The 17440-nt window shown below is 39.0% G+C and overlaps 1 protein-coding gene across 3 annotated transcripts in view; it reads right to left on the bottom strand.

Moving 5' to 3' along the window:
* NECTIN3 (nectin cell adhesion molecule 3) overlaps positions 12801-17440 on the bottom strand; it is a 122355-nt gene continuing 117715 nt past the window's right edge. For all 3 annotated transcript variants that reach the window (NM_001243288.2, XM_017006123.2, XM_017006126.2), the window contains 2 exons: positions 14558-14620; positions 12801-13771 (listed from right to left, as the gene is read on the bottom strand). In NM_001243288.2, the coding sequence (NP_001230217.1) occupies positions 13592-13771; positions 14558-14620 (243 nt within the window). In that variant the 3' untranslated portion in view covers positions 12801-13591. The remainder of the gene's footprint in view (positions 13772-14557; positions 14621-17440) is intronic.

Here is a 17440-nt window from a genome sequence, read left to right as displayed (position 1 = left end):
GGCAGGTGGATACAATTATCCTAATGAGTGGTAAGGTTGGAGTGGCAGCAAAAGGGGCCTAATGTGCAGTTATGGAGATGATTACAGTGGTTCCTGGACCAGGAGCATCACCACCTCCTGGGAACTACTTAGAAATGCAAATTCTCAGGATCCTCCCCAGGCCTATGGAATCAGAAACTCTGGGGCTAGGACCCAGCAATCTGTGGTTTAACAAGCTCTTCAGGTTATTCCAATGCAAGCTAGTTTGAGAACCACTGAATTAATAGAACACGGCCTCTCAAGGATTACAAAGGTAGACAGGTAACAGAATTTGTCATTTTGTACCATCAGAAGAAATTGAGGGATATTTAATAAGGAAGCTGGAAGCTGATAAATAGAAAGTCAAAAGGTTTTGCCATTTCTGAACTTGAGACAGTTTTCAGACCTATAATTTACTGAATGACCACAGGTCTCCACGACGAAGGACCTTGCAGAACCACAGCAAGTATTCATGACAAGAATTTCCCCTGTTCTTGTCCAAAGAAACATATAGTTATTTATTTAGGCAGCTGTACACTGGGGATGCCAAACATTTCAAGGACTCTTGGGCCCAAGTTGACATTGATAGTTGGAGTCCCTAAGTGTCATTACACCCTCCCTTCATTAGAATGAGCACATACAGGAAGCTGGTAATCAATGCAGCCCTGAAGACCCACTTGATGGTCACTTCCCCAGTCAAAGGTATAGACACACCTGATAGTTGGCACAATATCCACATAGGTCCTTGGCCTGTGATTAAGAGTTAACATAATGAGGAAGTCAAAATGGAAGTCCCTAAAACTGCCTCCCTGCTGAGTCAAATAGTAGATATATAATATTATCGCCTCCCAGGAGAGATGGCAGAAATTGTGCTACACCTAAGCCTTTAAAAGGTGATGGTCCCTATCATATTTCCATCAAATTCACCCGTCCAGTTCTTGAAGAAACTAGATGGACCCTGGAGGATGATAGTAGATTCCCATGAACTCAAAGTAATATCCCCAATTATATCCATTGTGCTAAATGTGGTATCTTTACTAGAGCAGATTAATATGGCATATGTGGGCATGGATATACCAAGTATTATTTTCTAGTCTGATCAAAAAAGAGGATCAAAAAGAGTTCATATCCATGTGGAATGGGTGACAATATACCTTCACAATTTTGACTCAGGACTATATTAACTCCACTGCCTGTTTCATAATGTAGTCAAGAGAAACCTGGAATCATTGAACATCCCAGGGAACACCTCACTGATCCACCATATCAGTAGTGGGATGGGCTTAGAATTGGCATGACACATGTACTCCAGGGGGTGGGAGACAAATATTCCAGAGCCTGAAATGTCAGCAAAATATTCAGAAATCCAGTGACCAGAGGTAGCTAGAATATTTCCTCTAAAGTGAAAAATAAATCATTGCCTCTTGCACCTTCCAGCATAAAAAAGCAAGTTCGAGGTGTGGGAGGCCTCTTCAGGTCCTGAAGGTGCATATTTCACACCTGGGAATACTGCTTCCAACAGCTATAGGGAGTGGAATCCTCTGTGGCCAGAACAAAGAATGGGAGAGCGGTGGATGTTTCTGTAAACCATCTGCAGGAGAAAATAAGATTGCCTGAAAACACACCAATGCCACAGGCCATGCCTTCATATTACACTAAATCAAAAGTAGTGATTCTTTGGATTAGGGTGTAGGGCACAGACCTTGGGTGTTGAACTCAGCACGGTGACAATCACTCTGACGTGCTCCAGTATTTACAGGGATAACAAGGCTGACTTTGGAAAGCAGGACTATGCCAGGAAATCCAGGACATCTGGCTGATTCACAGCAGGGCACATCTGTGCTAGAATGTCCTTTGCATTTTAGAAAAGACTGCTTTTTCTTTAGCCAAGAGAAGAACAGGATAGTTTGCAGATAAAGTCACAAATTGTTCAAGTCCCTTTGCCCTGCATATTCCTACTTGGGAATTTACAAATTTGGGAAATCAGTAATTGAGTTCTGATTAAATGATCAGGATGTCTCTTGACAATAAATAGTTCTACCTCTTCTACACTGAACAAGGTAAGATAAATACAGGTGAAAGCATCAATCCTTCACTGAACTTTTGGCTTTAACACCAGTAGGAAGGGAAGTATTTAGAAAAGGTTGTGGGAGCCCCAAGAGATTGTGGATAAAAAGGATTGGTTATTCTTAAATATAGAACATGAATCTCCATTTAGAAACATATTAGACCAGAATTTCAAAGGGCTATTTAATTTTTATTTTTTAGAGACAGTCTCATTCTGTCACCCAGGCTGGGAGGCAGTGGAGAAATCACAGCTCACTGCAGCCTTGACCTCCTGGGCTCAAGTGATCCTCCCGAGTAGCTGGGACTACAGGTACATGCTCCCTTACCTGGCTAATTTTTCTTTTTTTTTTTTTAAAGATGGGGTCTTACTATATTGCCCAGTGCCCAGGCACACCTTGACCTCCTGGGCTCAAGCAATCCTCCCGAGTAGCTGAGACTACAGGAACATACCTCTATACCTGGCCAATCCTTCCTTCCTCCCTCTTTTTTTTTTTTCCCAGAGATAGGGTCTCACTATATTGCCCAGGCACACCTTGAACTTCTGGGCTCAAGTGATCCTCCTGCCTTGGCCTCCTAAAGTGCTGGGATTACAGGTGTGAGCCACCTTGCCTGACTTCAAGGGGTTATTTAAAATATGAGATAAGAACTGTTTATTTTTTGGATAATTCACCCTCTAATCTCAAGAGCTTTCTTGAAGCAATTTCAGAAGGTGTAGAACAATTTTTTTCCATGCATATTGCTGTTTTGGTAGAAACAGAAGTCTAAAGTTGAGGCTTTTCCTGGAACCTCTGGAAAAAAGAAACTCACAGGCAAAATGTCTGACTGCATATTGCATATCTAACTGCTCAGACAAATCTTCTCCAACTTTTGACTCTCACTGTTGAACTCTTGCACAAACCATCCATATGTATGGAATGTCTGTTCTGTTGCTTGCATGGCTATTTCCCATCTATTCAACACCCAACTGCAGGGTAAATGCACATGAAAGCAATAATTTAGTGTACCCTGAGAATGACCCTGTATGGCATATGTACCTGAATGTGTTTTCCAAGCTAGAGAATCCAAGAGTGGCCAACCTGGAGATTTGTTCCTTGTCTATAAGGAACATCTGAGCCCCTAACCCATCCTATGGAACACCAGCCATACAGGGGATTGAGGCCCTAAGTTTGGGTTGAATGAAGTTGACAGATGAAGGTTGTTAGGTAAAGGGTACTAAGTGAGAATGTTATATAAACACCTTTTGCAAGCGGTTGCAGTTCTTCTGCCCAGCTGCCACTCTCTCCCCAGTATGTAAGCCCCAGTGAAACCCCCTGTCTTGTTTGCTGGCCCCAAGTCTCTTCTTCAGCCTCTCGAATGTGGTGCCATCTCCATTACAGTCAACAGGGGTTTGGCACAACACCAAGGTACATGTTCCAGGAAGTTTTCTGGATGGATCAGAACATGTTAACTTCTGTTGCTTTGCCTTTATTCCAGTGTGGTTTTTTGTTTATAAAACATTTTTGGGAGGATGCACGTTTATATACTTATTTTACCTTGTGGAAATGTAGTTATGATTTCAGAGTAATGAAGGCTGAGAAAAAGCAAAAGGCTATCTGGGAGTTTCATAATACAATGAGAAGAGGCAAATATTCTCCCTCCCACTGGATGCTTGTAGGAATGGAGACCAACGACAGCTTTGAAGATGTTAGCTATATTTAGTGATTACTATATGTCATGCAGTCAGAAGTGGTTACATCAATAATGTGCTAGAGTCAGCTGGGACCAGCTTGCAAGTGCTGATAGTGCACATCCCTTCTCAGCTTCAGGTTCAGTGGTGTCATGCTGGTAGCTTAAAACTGGCCCTGGTGATATCAGGTACACCATGGAAATCAGCAAATGACGCAACTCAAGGTTTTTGTTTGTTTGTTTTTGTTTTTAAACCCAGCAAGTCGATTTATCAGCACTCTACCTTGTACATTCTTTTTAATCTTCCATATCTATCTTTAATAGGTTCATGCTTTCTTCTACATTTTTTAACATATAGAGTGTATTTATGATACCTATTTTAGTGTGTTTGTCTACTAATTCTATCCTCTAGGTCAGAGGTTGGCTAGCCATGGGCCAAATCCAGCCTACAGCCTATTTTCATACAGTTTATATTTATAAGCTAAGAATGGCTTTATCTTCTTAACGGGTTGTAGAAAACAAACATCACTAGCCATCAGGAAAATTCAAATAAAAAACACAATGCAATCCCACTTTCCACTTACTAGAATGGCTATAATAATAATAAAAAAGAGATAATAACACACGGTGAGAATGTGAAGAAAGTAGAGCCCCCATTCACTGTTGGTGGAAATATAAAATGGTGCAGCAGCTTTGGAAAACAGTTTGGCAGTTCCTCAAAAAGTTAAACAACAGAGTTGCCATATGATCCAGCAATTAGATACCTAGGTATAGATGCAAAAGAAATAAAACATGTGTTCACCCCAAAACTGGTACACAAATGTTCATAGCAGCATTATTCATAATTCATAATTATTTCCAAAAAGTGAATGACCCAAAAGTCCACCAAGTGATGAGTAGATAAAATGTGATATATATCCATACAATGGAATATTCTTCAGCAATATAAGGAAATGATACATACTACAACATGGATGAACTTCAGAAATATTAAGTAAAAGATGCCAGTCACAAAGAATTATGTAGTATCTGATCCCATTTATATAACATGTCAAGAATAGGCAAATCCACAGAGATGGAAAGGAGATTGGTGGTTGCCAGGGACTTGAAGGAGAGGTGGATGACTGCTAATGTGCATGGGTTTCCTTCTGGAGTGATGAAAATATTTTAAAATTGATTGTGGTAATGGTTGTACAACTCTGTGAATATACCAAAACCACTGAATTTAACACTTTAAAAAGATGAATTCTATAGTATCTAAGAAGTTATTTTTAAAAAAGCAGTCCCTAGACTCTGGGATTTCTAAGACCAGTAAAGCATCCCCAAATCAAAGTTCAGGAATCTATTATAGATGCCAACTTTTCTTTTTTGGGGGTTGGAGTGGGGGAGGGGGACCAGTAAATGAGAACATTTAGTGATCATTAAGCAGCAATATAATTTTATAAAAGAAAAGACATTTTAACTCCTAAGGATTAATCAGGAATAAGCAATAATTATTTAAGTGGAATAAATGTAGCTTCACTAAAAAGGTATTAAGTAATTGTAAGTAATTACAATAATAAGTAACATCATATTAAAAAAATTTTCCAATGCTCCTTGAAGCATAAAAGCATTTCTACTATTATTTTTAAAATCTTTTTAAAAAGGACTAAAGTATAGAAACTTAGTTGCCATAAAAGATGTTCTTTAAATCTTAAATTTAAATTTTATAGTCATGTAATTAGGTTAATTTTTACATGTATTTTAATTTACTGATAATAATGTAAATGAAAAATCTTAGTTGATAAAAACTTTATTTAAAACATGTAAAGAATCATATAGTTCAAAACTGCAAAAATAAAAGACAATTTCTTGTAACTTAAAAATAAAGTATATATCTAGAAACCACCACATTAACATCTACTATTTATAGTACAATCTCCAATTCAAAGCTAATCTTTGTATTTCTGTATTTTGCAACTTTTGAGCTAGAATCTTCCTCCCTATCCAACTATACTGTTATGTAACCCCATTGTTTTAACATTTAACAATACAACTTGGGTATTCTCTGACAAGCAAGAATATATACTATTGATCACTTCTATACACAAAATAAAAACAGTTCAAATGACTAGAAACTAATTTTACAAAAGAAAAAAAAACAGGTTAGTAAAACATTTCTTTTGAAAACAATGGGTGAATTAGTATTCTGAATTGAGCTAGAGCACATTTTTGCTTGAAGACTCTCCATATTAGGCACTATGCATTTATATAGTACAGAACATTTGCAAAATGCTTTTCACCATTTATTAGGACTCACAACACCTGGGCGCTGGGGAATAGCCGGACTACCTCAGTTTACACAGGGAGAACCAAGGCACACTGTGAGATCTTGCCAGGGCCAGAGTGAGACCTCATTAGCTTCTGACTTCTTGTAGGAAGAGCCAGATGTTTCTTTGTGGAGGACATTAATTTGTTTAATGATAGGAGTAAAAGTATGTGAGATTTGTTGTGGGAAAATTAGTTTGGGCTCCATAAATAAAAAGTTCAGAGCATGGATAAAGTAGAGATTTCACTGTGAAAAGGGTCAATGAGGAGAAGTTAAAACCAGATATAAGGCTCTTTTCAGACAGATCACTTTTCAGAAATAAAAATAGCAAAACGAGAATAGGAAAAAAATAGCTATAGAGTTTTTCATTTCTAACCCAAGGGGCTTTGATAAAATCACTTTAAAAGAAGGATCTCTCTCTTAAAACAACCCTTAAACATCTTATTTTTTCCCCCTCATAAGACCCCTGTGAGGTAGAGAGCACTTACTTACAGGGATGAAGCTAAGAAGTAAAGTTAAGAGTTTAAAACCACATGGATAGTGAACAGGCTGGAGCAGATGTTATGTCTTAAAGCATTGGCTTAGAAATAGAAACAGAAGGTAGAGAATAAACAGGAACTTTTATGGATGGACAAGTGGAATAATCCAGGGATCTAGTAGCAACACCAGCTACTTAACATTTCTTTTAAAAAGGACTTGGAATTTCAAGTATGTGATGAGGCCTAAAATGACAAACACTTGTCTGGGTATTGAAATGCTCAGCTGAAGGGAATATATGCAATATGTTCTCATAAGACCATGTGGGAAAAAGCAGAGGCATAAAAGAGCTACAACCTGGACAAGTGCAAACTAATGCATTTAGGACAAACTGCTGTTACCTGTAGTTAAAATATAATGGGCACTGAGCCATCAATAAGGCTTGAGAGAGGAACTTAATTTAGCCTGATCAACATGCTAGGGTAGGTTTTTAAAAAATACCAGTCATTACTGGAAAGGGTATTTAAAACCAAAACAATGGCGCCTATTCACTTGGAAAATCACGTACAACTCTGGTATTCATAGATCCACTGTGGGTTATTAGCGGAAATCAACTTCTGGAAGAGACACCTAAAACATCTCTTCATGGCTGACAGACACATCTGTAGTAGGATAGGACACAGTTCTAAGCCAGCATAGCAAATCTGATGTTCTGGATCTCCAGGGAGGCTTTCCCTCAAGGTCTCTAATCAACTTTCACAGTCAAATTCCATACCATGATAATAAATACAACCAATTTAGGTCATGGTACCAAGGATCCTGCTGGGTCACAGGGCACCTGATTATAGGAACTTTATAAATTGTATTGCTGGGAAAAACCACAAGAGGACAACTGTTTGGTTTCCCATCTTTTGATGCAGCAAAAGAATGATATAGCTCACCTGGGTTTTGTTTATTAAAGATTGTGTGGGATGGCATTTATAATCTAATCATCTTAAGTCCATGAGTACATCTCCTTGGGTCCAGCTGATATGCCTCTTCTATAAATCATGTGCTAGTGGCAGCTGTAAACACAGCTACAGAATGGGAGCATTTAGAGGACAGTACCCTGCCCATTTTCAACTCATGGAAATGTTGTTTTCAGGAAATATATATGGCAATAATATTCAAAACATCTATTCCTCTGAAATTATGGAAGTTAATCCTAAACCTCACAGCTTTAAGATACAGAATGTAACTAGTACTTTTTGATGTAGGGAGGCATGTTGTTTGATATATATCATAACCTCAGCCCCCACACACTGACTAGAATATTCCGGGGGAAGGATTAATGGGATGGATTTATTCATAACTAACGGAATGGAGAATGTTTTTATTTGTCAATGGTAGATCCTCTCTCCTTGAGACCCAGAGGGAACTTATATGTCATTGCCCCAATTGAAAACATATGACAAAATTTTTTGTGTTCTTCTGAATTGTTTATGTTCCCTTTTATCTTTAGTCTACTCTGCTTCAAACTTCTACAGTCAAATTAAAACTTGAGAAAAGTAACAAACTCAATAATAGAAAAAAACATAGCAGTAACCTAATGTTTCAAGTATTGAGAGAAGTTTGCAGGGGTGGGATTCTCTTGCACATGTGAACTGCAAAATGTTTTTTTGAGCTGCAAATTTTAAGTAGACATTTCTTTCTCTCTTACACACACACACACACACACACACACACACACACACACACACACACACACCCCTAAGGATGAACAGGCTGTCACTAAGGATAAGTGCCAGTTCACCTCTACACAGCAGGTTGTTGAGTTTAGAGCAGTAAAGAGCTTCACCCCACCCTAGTGTGAGGGTATAATAACCTGTGAAATCTTTAATAAGTTCTGTTATACTTGATATAATTTTTAAAAATTATTTTGGCATATGTTAATCAGTCATAATAGTTACTCTGGGGGTGCCTGCTTAACGTCTGACATATCCTAATTGGGAATACAACTTCAGGGCTGCTAGCATTTGAAAAAAACTCTAGTCACTTCAGACACTACCACAAAAGCTTTATCTGTAGCTTAACACAAGAGACTTTGTTAATAAGTAAAATATTTCCAATGATTCATATTAATGGTGTTAGAGATATGTGGATCGGCCCAAATATTGTAGGGCACCCTAGACCTTCCACAAGCAGTGTATAAGAATCTGACAAGCCCAGCAGTTTGGGATTTCTAACTTATTCTTTTAGAAGTGAAACTAAGAATTGACTTGGCTGACTGAATCTGCTAGAATATTGCTGGATTCACTTCTAATAACTCTTCTAGGTAGGATAATGTTGGGTTGCACAGAAGGACAGAATTGGGACTTTTTCAAGCTTACAGGACAGGTTGCATGACTGTTCTGGTGCCTGCTTGCTCATAAACACACATGACGCAGCACTTGGTCTAAGACCTGATTTCAGTGTAAAGTACCACCTGGTGAGGTTGGGAGCCCTATAGCCCTCACACATTTCTATCTACTGAAGGCTACCAAAACAACCTAATAATTGTGAGCGCCCAAACTGGCAAAGGCCAGGTTATAATTTTCTCTAGTGGAGGAAACCCAATATTTTTATAGATATAACAATATTAATCCAGTCATAGTCTACAGTTGAAATAAGCCTGCAAATAGCAGCTTCTAGTTTAATGGGGATGAAAGTCCCTGGTCCTGCTATAAGGTCTGCAAATGACTTCAGAATGAAGGAAGGTCCTTGTCAGCCAAACACAGGAAGAAGAGAACCACAGAGCTGAGCCACGGGTGGGGACTGTGACATTTCTATTTGATGCTTTTCTATTCTTCTGTCTTTTTGGCTTCTTTCCAGTTGTCCAGTATAGGAGTGTCGCCACTCCTGGGAGTTCAGTAAAGGTGAAACAAACACAGCAATGAGCATATCGAACAACTAAGTTGAGGGAGAGATGTTAGAGAGAAGTTTGTGCCCACTAAAATTGAGCCAACTGAGATGGAGTGGTTATAATTATTTGGTTGGTTGTTTTTATAGCTATGGGTAATCTAATGAATATGAGAGTCTGAGCATTTGAATTACCCATAGTAAAGTAAAAAAAAAGAGCATATGTACTTGCTTTTGTCTTAATAAACATTTCTTATGGTTTTATTCCATATACTCTCTTATATCTTTGCTTTAAAAATAATTTAAAAACTATGTTCCCCACTCCCCAAAAGCAGATTTGAAAGAAGTAACAGCCAACTGATGCTCAGCATGCCCTATGATTGTACAGCAGGGGAGTATGGGCCTGTCTGTCCCACAGGAGCTCCTGGGAAGAGGGCAAAACAGGAGTCTGGTTCTATTCCTTGAGATGATTCATGTAAGGTATTTGCCCTAGAACCCAATCCATACTACGTACTCAATGATGTTATTTGTTATTAGTAGTAATTTTTAAAATAAGAGCAAATACTGGTAATAGTAACATGCATTTTCAATTCTAGCTAAAGCCTAAGCAGCTAAGATTCAGACAAAAAGCTTTTCACATGACAATTATTTGTTATAGTAAAAGGAAGTTCTCTAACTTGCACTTGGCTATACGTGAATTCGATCAAACTGAATTTTTCATTTTGCCACTTGGTAATCCCTAGGGAAACTACAGTATTCTAAATGCTGGCAAGGGCCCTGGACATTTAGGTTCAATATGCAACAATAACAGAGTCATAGGCATTTGTCAGTTTGAAGGAAAATTACAATTCTCCAATTTCCCATCCATTATCATCTTCTTTAACTCTCACCACAATTCTGAGAGGTTGCAAATGATACCCCAGACAGGTTAAGTGACTTGCCTGTTTGAATGGCTAGAAAGAGGTGAAGTTGGGAGTACCTGTTTTGATTCTTGGTAAATGGTCTATCTTCCAAACTCCAGGGAATGAGGCTTAAAGGAAGGCTCTACTGTATATAAAGAATAGCACCGGAAAACCAGCATAGTGCAGGAAAAGAGTGAAAAATGGAAAACCAAATAGTGAATTTTAGACTACTGTGAAAGAGGTCTTAGGAAATCATTTGCAATAGCAGGATGAAGAAACTATCTTGTCCCTTTAAGTAAACAAGCCCATAGGAAAGTAATGGGGAAACCAGTTCATTGTAGTTTTCAGCACATTTCTTAAGTATCTATTATGTACATGTTACACAGAAGCATAGCCCCGGTAAGAATTTTATATTACATACCCCAAAGAGCATGGACTTCTTATACCATTGCATGTGGTGTGCAAAGAACACGGTGATCTGCTACTGTAGCAACAATGCATACTCCAAGGCATACTCTTGGGCTGCCTACAAAATAGGCAATAAAGGCTGTGCGTTTAAGGTAAGCATGCACACCCCACCCAGAAGTGCAGAGCTGCAACCATAAGTAGATAAGCGCTCTGAGGATTTATTTCTGTTTCAGAGTGTTTTACTAAACAAGTTATGGAAAGAGCATCTAATATCAGCTATGGATTATTCCCTAAACCTCAATCGCTGACCTTTAAGAACCTAACTTCCAAATTTAAATGGCATTGTCAAGTAGTCTAGGCTCCAAATTTAGAGACCAACAGGCTACTTTTGGATGGCAATTTTTGGTAGAGAGGCCTGGTTGATCAAACCCTTTTAAAGCTGCTTTCTATTTAGCCCAGTTTTTAGAGAGAACAGATGGAAGGCACCAGGATAAGCTATTATAGAGCTTCTATGACCTGTGTAAAGGGCCAAGAGCTATAACATCTACCAGTTTGTTAAAGAAGTATCCTAGCTGACACAAGGCAAAGAAGATACTGAACTCACTGGCTGCAGGAGAGGTGAGACTACATCCTGAAATTTCTTTTCCATAACTACACTGAGAATTTTAAAAGGTAGACAGTGGGTTCCTCAAGGTATGGAGGGTGCTGAAGACAGGCCACAGGGCTCCTGAGAACCAGTGTTTCCAGATCCCTTTCTCTGGTGCAAATGAAGACAGCTACTCCCCTGGGTCTATAGTATGCTTTTGTGAACTAATTCAACAATTTACTTCCCAGCAGGACCCTGGAAACCATCCCCAACATGTAAGACATTGACATTTTTAAAGCTTTCTAAAGGAGCTGACATACCCCCTTATTGCCTCCATAACATCCAGTGTTTATGAAACACTTCCCTGTCAAGCAGAGCTCTGATCACAGCCATCCTCCTATCGGAAGACAAATGCCAGGATTCCTACACCTTCAGTTATACTAACTCAGCGTTGGCCTTCCAAATAATAAAGTTGAATATTTTCTTTGCTACAAAGGGCAGTACACTCCTACTCTGAGGTAGCACAGTAGCAATGGGCGTCCTTGAAATTCACCCTTTGATCCTTACAGCTACAGACTTTAAAACTGCTAATTACCTAGCTAAAGCATTGAGTTGAAATCTAAGCATCCTGTCTCCCAGAGTTGCTGGTCACTCGCGTAAATGGGGGAGAATATATTTCGGCTGTAGAACTACCTAGATAATTTGATAAAGCATGGCAACTAGAAAGAAGAAACAAACACACAAAGAAGAACTAGAGCCAGCACGACATAAATCATAACGTATCTTTGGCATCTCATTAGAAATCTATGCTAACATTCTCCTCTACCCTTGAAGTTAGGTTGGAAATATACTTAATGTATTTTATTGCTTATGTCACTCTTTCCTAAACACTCTGTAGTATTTTCTATACCTCTGACACACCTCTAACCTTCCAGAATACAAAGTAAGATGCTTTCCTTAAGATGTGAGGGAAGCGATGGACATTCATGTGAAACTACATTCCTTCCACCTCTGCTCTGTAATTATCTCACTGTAATTACTACTGTCAATCTCAGGGATGGAAAGCTGGCAAAGGGAGATGAGAAAACTCAAGACACATTTACAGACACTAAAGTGTTGCGGGATACCCTAGTAGATAAGTCATTATATTATTTACTTTTTAGCATCTCTTGACTCTTGGTGACCAGGTAAAGTAGGGGAGAAGGGATAAAAAACATGTCAGTTTAACATACGTGCCATATTGAAGTGCCTTTTCTTTTAAGTTTTCTAAATTTTCACCTGGCTTTTAAGAGCAGAAGTTATTTCATGGTGACTTTCCAGCAGGCTTTTCTGAGGTAGATAAAACATGGATGATAAGTAGTCTGAAGAATGCAGAAGGGGAGGTGAAGACTGTGTGGCTGGGATTAGTTTGAAAGAAATTTCAGAAGTGAAAGCTGAGCCTGTCATGTACAATACTAGAGAAAAGAGGAACAAGGTTAAAGGCTGTACACCATTTAAACAAGGTTTTTAGAATTTAATAGGTGCAAAATAGGCTAATCTAGCTAGTAAAGAACAGGACTGTAGGAACAGTGACAGAGCAAAAGTAGAGCCTTTGTTACATACAGCTAGTCAAAAGTAGGCAGAAAACAGCAAGAGATATGTATCCCTCAGGACCTCAGTGCTCAACAAAGAATATATATCATAATAACACAAAGGTTTAAAAGCAACCAACAGGCTTGAAGGTTTCAACTGCCTTTTGTTGCTGTTTGGATGAAAAGCAAATTTTGCCTCTTTCCTCAGGCCTCTGTTTGTACACAGGTATTGTAATTGTATTAAGCATGTCAGGGAAATCCAAATCCCAGCTAAATAATTAGTGAAATAGATTCTGAACTCATTTTTATGCCTGTGTGAATTACAGATGAACAGGCTAGCATGCCTGAGACCCAACGAGGTTAATAGTATCAGCTGGGGCCTTTCTTTCTGGAGAATCACTGCAGTTATCACAGGCAGATGCTGTACTGTTAAATGAAAATGCCATTGTAGGCCAAATGTTAGCAGTTAAATACCATCATCACAGAAACACACAAAGCTATAGTCAAGTTCACAAACACAGCTGGTGGTTAAGAAACGCTTAATGAAGAAAAGAAATTTGCTATTGGCTTTACGTCATTCATTAAGACTTCCAATACCCTTAGAGTGGGACTGTTCTTATATGAGAGACAGTAAAATAACTATTGGCCTTAGCTTCTCTCCCCAATCTAAGAATAAACATTTGTTAGAACGCCCATTGGAAAAAGAGAAAAATCACACATAATGTTCTCGTGGGTCGATGTAGACTCTCTTAGGGTCGTTATTTTGATGATGTTTGCCAGGGCTCCGGTCTTGGTAGCACATTTGATTGTAAAGGGGGTACATCTGCTGAATGCCATCTTCCCCAACTGGATTCTCATCTTCATAGTCAAAACTCCTGCTATTTAGTCCATTCTAAAAATTCAAACATTGCTTACATTAGCAGAGCAGCTGTTTGCATTTTTCTAGCACTGGTAAAAACAGGCAAGAATAGAATTCACTACAGTTTAGTGTCCCTGATTCATTATGCCAAAAACTATTGAATGGCAAGGTAAAGTTCAACAACTTATATTTTCCAGTCATTTGTCGCTTACAATACCCTGAATAAGAATAGTAGTAGCTCCTAAATACAAAATTGTGACTAATGGGGACTGGGATCAGTTTCACATTTTAAAATTTGGAGTTGCTATCAGTTAAGGTAAACTGGAGAAGAACAGGGTTATAAACCTCAGAAGTCTCTTAAGCAAGGCTCAAGCTTGAAATGAACATATGAGACATACAGAGAATTAAGCCAACCAAACAAAAGAAACCTCGACTCAGCTCTGGGGAACTGGGGAACGGACACAGCAAAATGAACTGGCATTTGAACATATGCCTGATAAAACTGAAAAGAAACTCTGCCAAAAATATCCTCTTGTCTTGACCTTTCCTTCTGGCTTGACCTTGCCACAGCTAGCACCTATAAAATGAACCCCCCATGATGTTCTGTGGTGTCTCTGGGACAGACTCTTCTGCCCGTTATTGGTTTCATAAAACTTGATTACTTCTAAGAGTAAAATTCAAGGACTACCAGATCTTAGCAGAGACACTCAAATAGGGGAAAGATGAATAAAATGAACTTGTATACAATTAAATGATATTTTAATAAGCACGTTAGCTACCAGCTCCACCTGGGCTGATACCGACAACACAGTTACTTACAGAGTGCTGAAGATTGCCAACTTCTCTTTCTTTGAACTGAGTCTGCAAAGGCAAGTGTTCAGGCTGGAAGAAAACACAAAAAGATGTGCACTGTAAAACACATGGCAAAACATATCAACCACTAAGATTCCTATTTTTAAAAGAGCCAATCATGTCTTGTTATAAATGTCTACCAACTAAGCAAAATGTTCCACATGAGAGTAAGAAAAAGTAACCATATTTTTTTAAAGAGTTTCACTCACTCTCTCCTGGCTCTTGACTTCTGGAAAGAAGAAAATATAGGGCTGGGCACAGTGGCTCTTGCCTGTAATCCTAGCACTTTGGGAGGCCAAGGCAGGTGGATAACTTGAGGCCAGAAGTTTGAGACCAGCCTGATCAACATGGTGAAACTCCATCTCTACTAAAAATACAAAAATTAGCCAGGTGTGGTGGGGCACACCTGTAATCCCAGCTATTTGGGAGGCTGAGACAGGAGAATTGTTTGAATTGGGGAAGCAGAGGTCACAGTGAGCCATGATTGTACCACTGTACTCTAGCCTGGGCTACAGAGCAACCAAGATTCGGTTTCAAAAAGGAAAGAAAATATAGACAACATCTGCTGCAGAAGTTCTCATGCAAACTTGTTTACATCTTACATGAGGGTGAGCTCACCACAGAAGGTCTTCTGTCTTCTCAGAAGAGTCTGATATTTTGAATCAGGTAAAAGTGGTTTGGGGTGGTAATGAGACATTATTTTTTGTCTTTATACATAGATTTAAAGGCCATATGATCATCCTTTTCTTGCTTGCTAATCTTCCATCCTTATCCCCACCCTCCCCCCACACAGATTACAAAGGGAGTTCATTTTCAAACTTCACCCTAAGAAGAATTTTTTTCAGTTTTCCTCGGCTTACAAACACATGACTTACCCTTCAGACTTCAGTTCAAATATCACCTCTTTCATGAAGCCTTGCACAACACCCTCGAGCAGAGATGGCCACCCTTTTCTGTGCCTTCATAGCATTTATTATCACATTTATAAGTCTACTTGCTTTTCTCCTTATCCAGACTGAGAGTGCTGGTTGAAGTGTTTCACAAACATTATCTCACCTAATCTTTATACGTATAATACTTCAACAAAACTAATATCTTTATTTTACAGATGACTAAAACTGAGGCTTAGTTATGCAAGTTGTCTCCAGTCACACAACTGGTAAGTGGTAAATAGTGATTCAAATGTGGCTTTGTCTAATTCCAAATTCTGTATTTTCACATCCCTGCTTTCATTTTAGTGTCTGGAAAATAGATGTTCAGTCAATATAATAAAATAATGCCTGAATGTCTCCACATGCAGGCATTATCTATCAACAAGCTCTGCATTTCACTATCTTTGCTCATACTGTCCCTTTTGGTTTGGAAGGACAAATCTCTGGGAGTAGAAATTCTACTTATCCAACATGGCCTGACTAAAGTCATTCTTTTTTTCACAAGGCTTGTCAACATTGCCTGTCAAAGTTAATCTCTTTACTCCTAGTTTTCCTATTGTTCTTGTTTTTATCTCTATTATAGCACACATCATGACTGTCTTGTTTTATAGTCCCTAATGTAACTTTCAACTCCAGTAAGTAGTGAGCCTTACTTAGCCATTGCTAATGGTCTGAATGTTTGTGTACTCCCAAAATTCATATGTTGAAACCTAATTGCAATGTGTTAGTACTAAAAGGTGGGGCCTTTGGGAAGCGAATAGGGTATAAGAGTGGAGCTGTCATAAATGGGATTAGTGCCCTTATAAGGGATTGAAGAGATCAGAGCTCTTCCCTTCCTTCTTATGAAGTTATAGTGAGAAGACAGCCATCTATTAGGAATAAGGCCCTCGCCAGACACTAAATCTGCTGATACCTTCATCTTGGACTTCCCAGCCTCTAGAAGTATAAGAAATACATTTCTGTTGTTTGTTAGCTACCTAGTTTACGGTGTTTTGTTACAGAAGCCTGAACAGACTAACATAGTCATCCTCCTCCATCCCTCTACCTTAATGTGGGTTTGTGCAATAAAAATAGTTCACTAATGAATTTATTAGAATCTAAACTATCATCAATTCTTGATGTCATATGTCAAGGTTATCTACATTATAAATTATGTGACATGTTCACTCCTCCTGTCAAAGTCAGCATAATTCTACAGTGCTTCCCACATGATCAGGTGATATTAACAGTACACACTGGTAAAAGTCCAAGGCAGGGGCAGTCACGGATGTATGGCCAATCACACAGGGCCCCTGGGGTTTAATGCTTTTAATACTTTGCAGTTGCCATCTAAGATTTCTTAATAATTTCACTGTTAATTTCTGTTGTAAGTGGTCTAATGAGACAAAAAAGCATGCTTCAGGGACTTGTAGGCTAGGCTCACAGGCATCCCTGCCTCCTGCTGTGTGGTTTTTGGCCACTGCTACCCCATCTTGCTGCCCCAGGTCCTACCTGGCCTCCCCCTCCCTGTCCCCTCTCCAGTGACTGCTGCTGTCCTCAGCCCAGGCAGATGCCTGGGCATTGGTTTAGGAGCACATGCCCACAGTCATGGTGCATATGGCAGGTGCCTGGAGGCCATGTCCCAGTGAAGATGAGACTCTCATTCACCCCCTATCTAGGTACCTAATAATGCCATCTTGACAGCCTTAATTTTTGAACATGGGGCCCAGCATTTTCATTTTGCACTGTGCCTCAGGAATTATGTAGCTGGTCCTGGTCAAAGGAAAATACACTTGGGAAAAAATACCTTATATTAAAATCAGCATTTTCATTTGTTTCTTTGCCATTTATTATTCTCCATCCATTAATACAGATAATTAAGAAATGATTTCACATCACTCACTGCTGCATCTAACTTGACAAGAGGTGGTGTAATCAG

The sequence above is a fragment of the Homo sapiens genome, chromosome 3, assembly GCF_000001405.40.
Source record: "Homo sapiens chromosome 3, GRCh38.p14 Primary Assembly".
NCBI classification, from domain to species: domain Eukaryota; kingdom Metazoa; phylum Chordata; class Mammalia; order Primates; family Hominidae; genus Homo; species Homo sapiens.
Note: the sequence above shows the minus strand (reverse complement) of the source record. Positions and strands in the feature narration are given on the sequence as shown.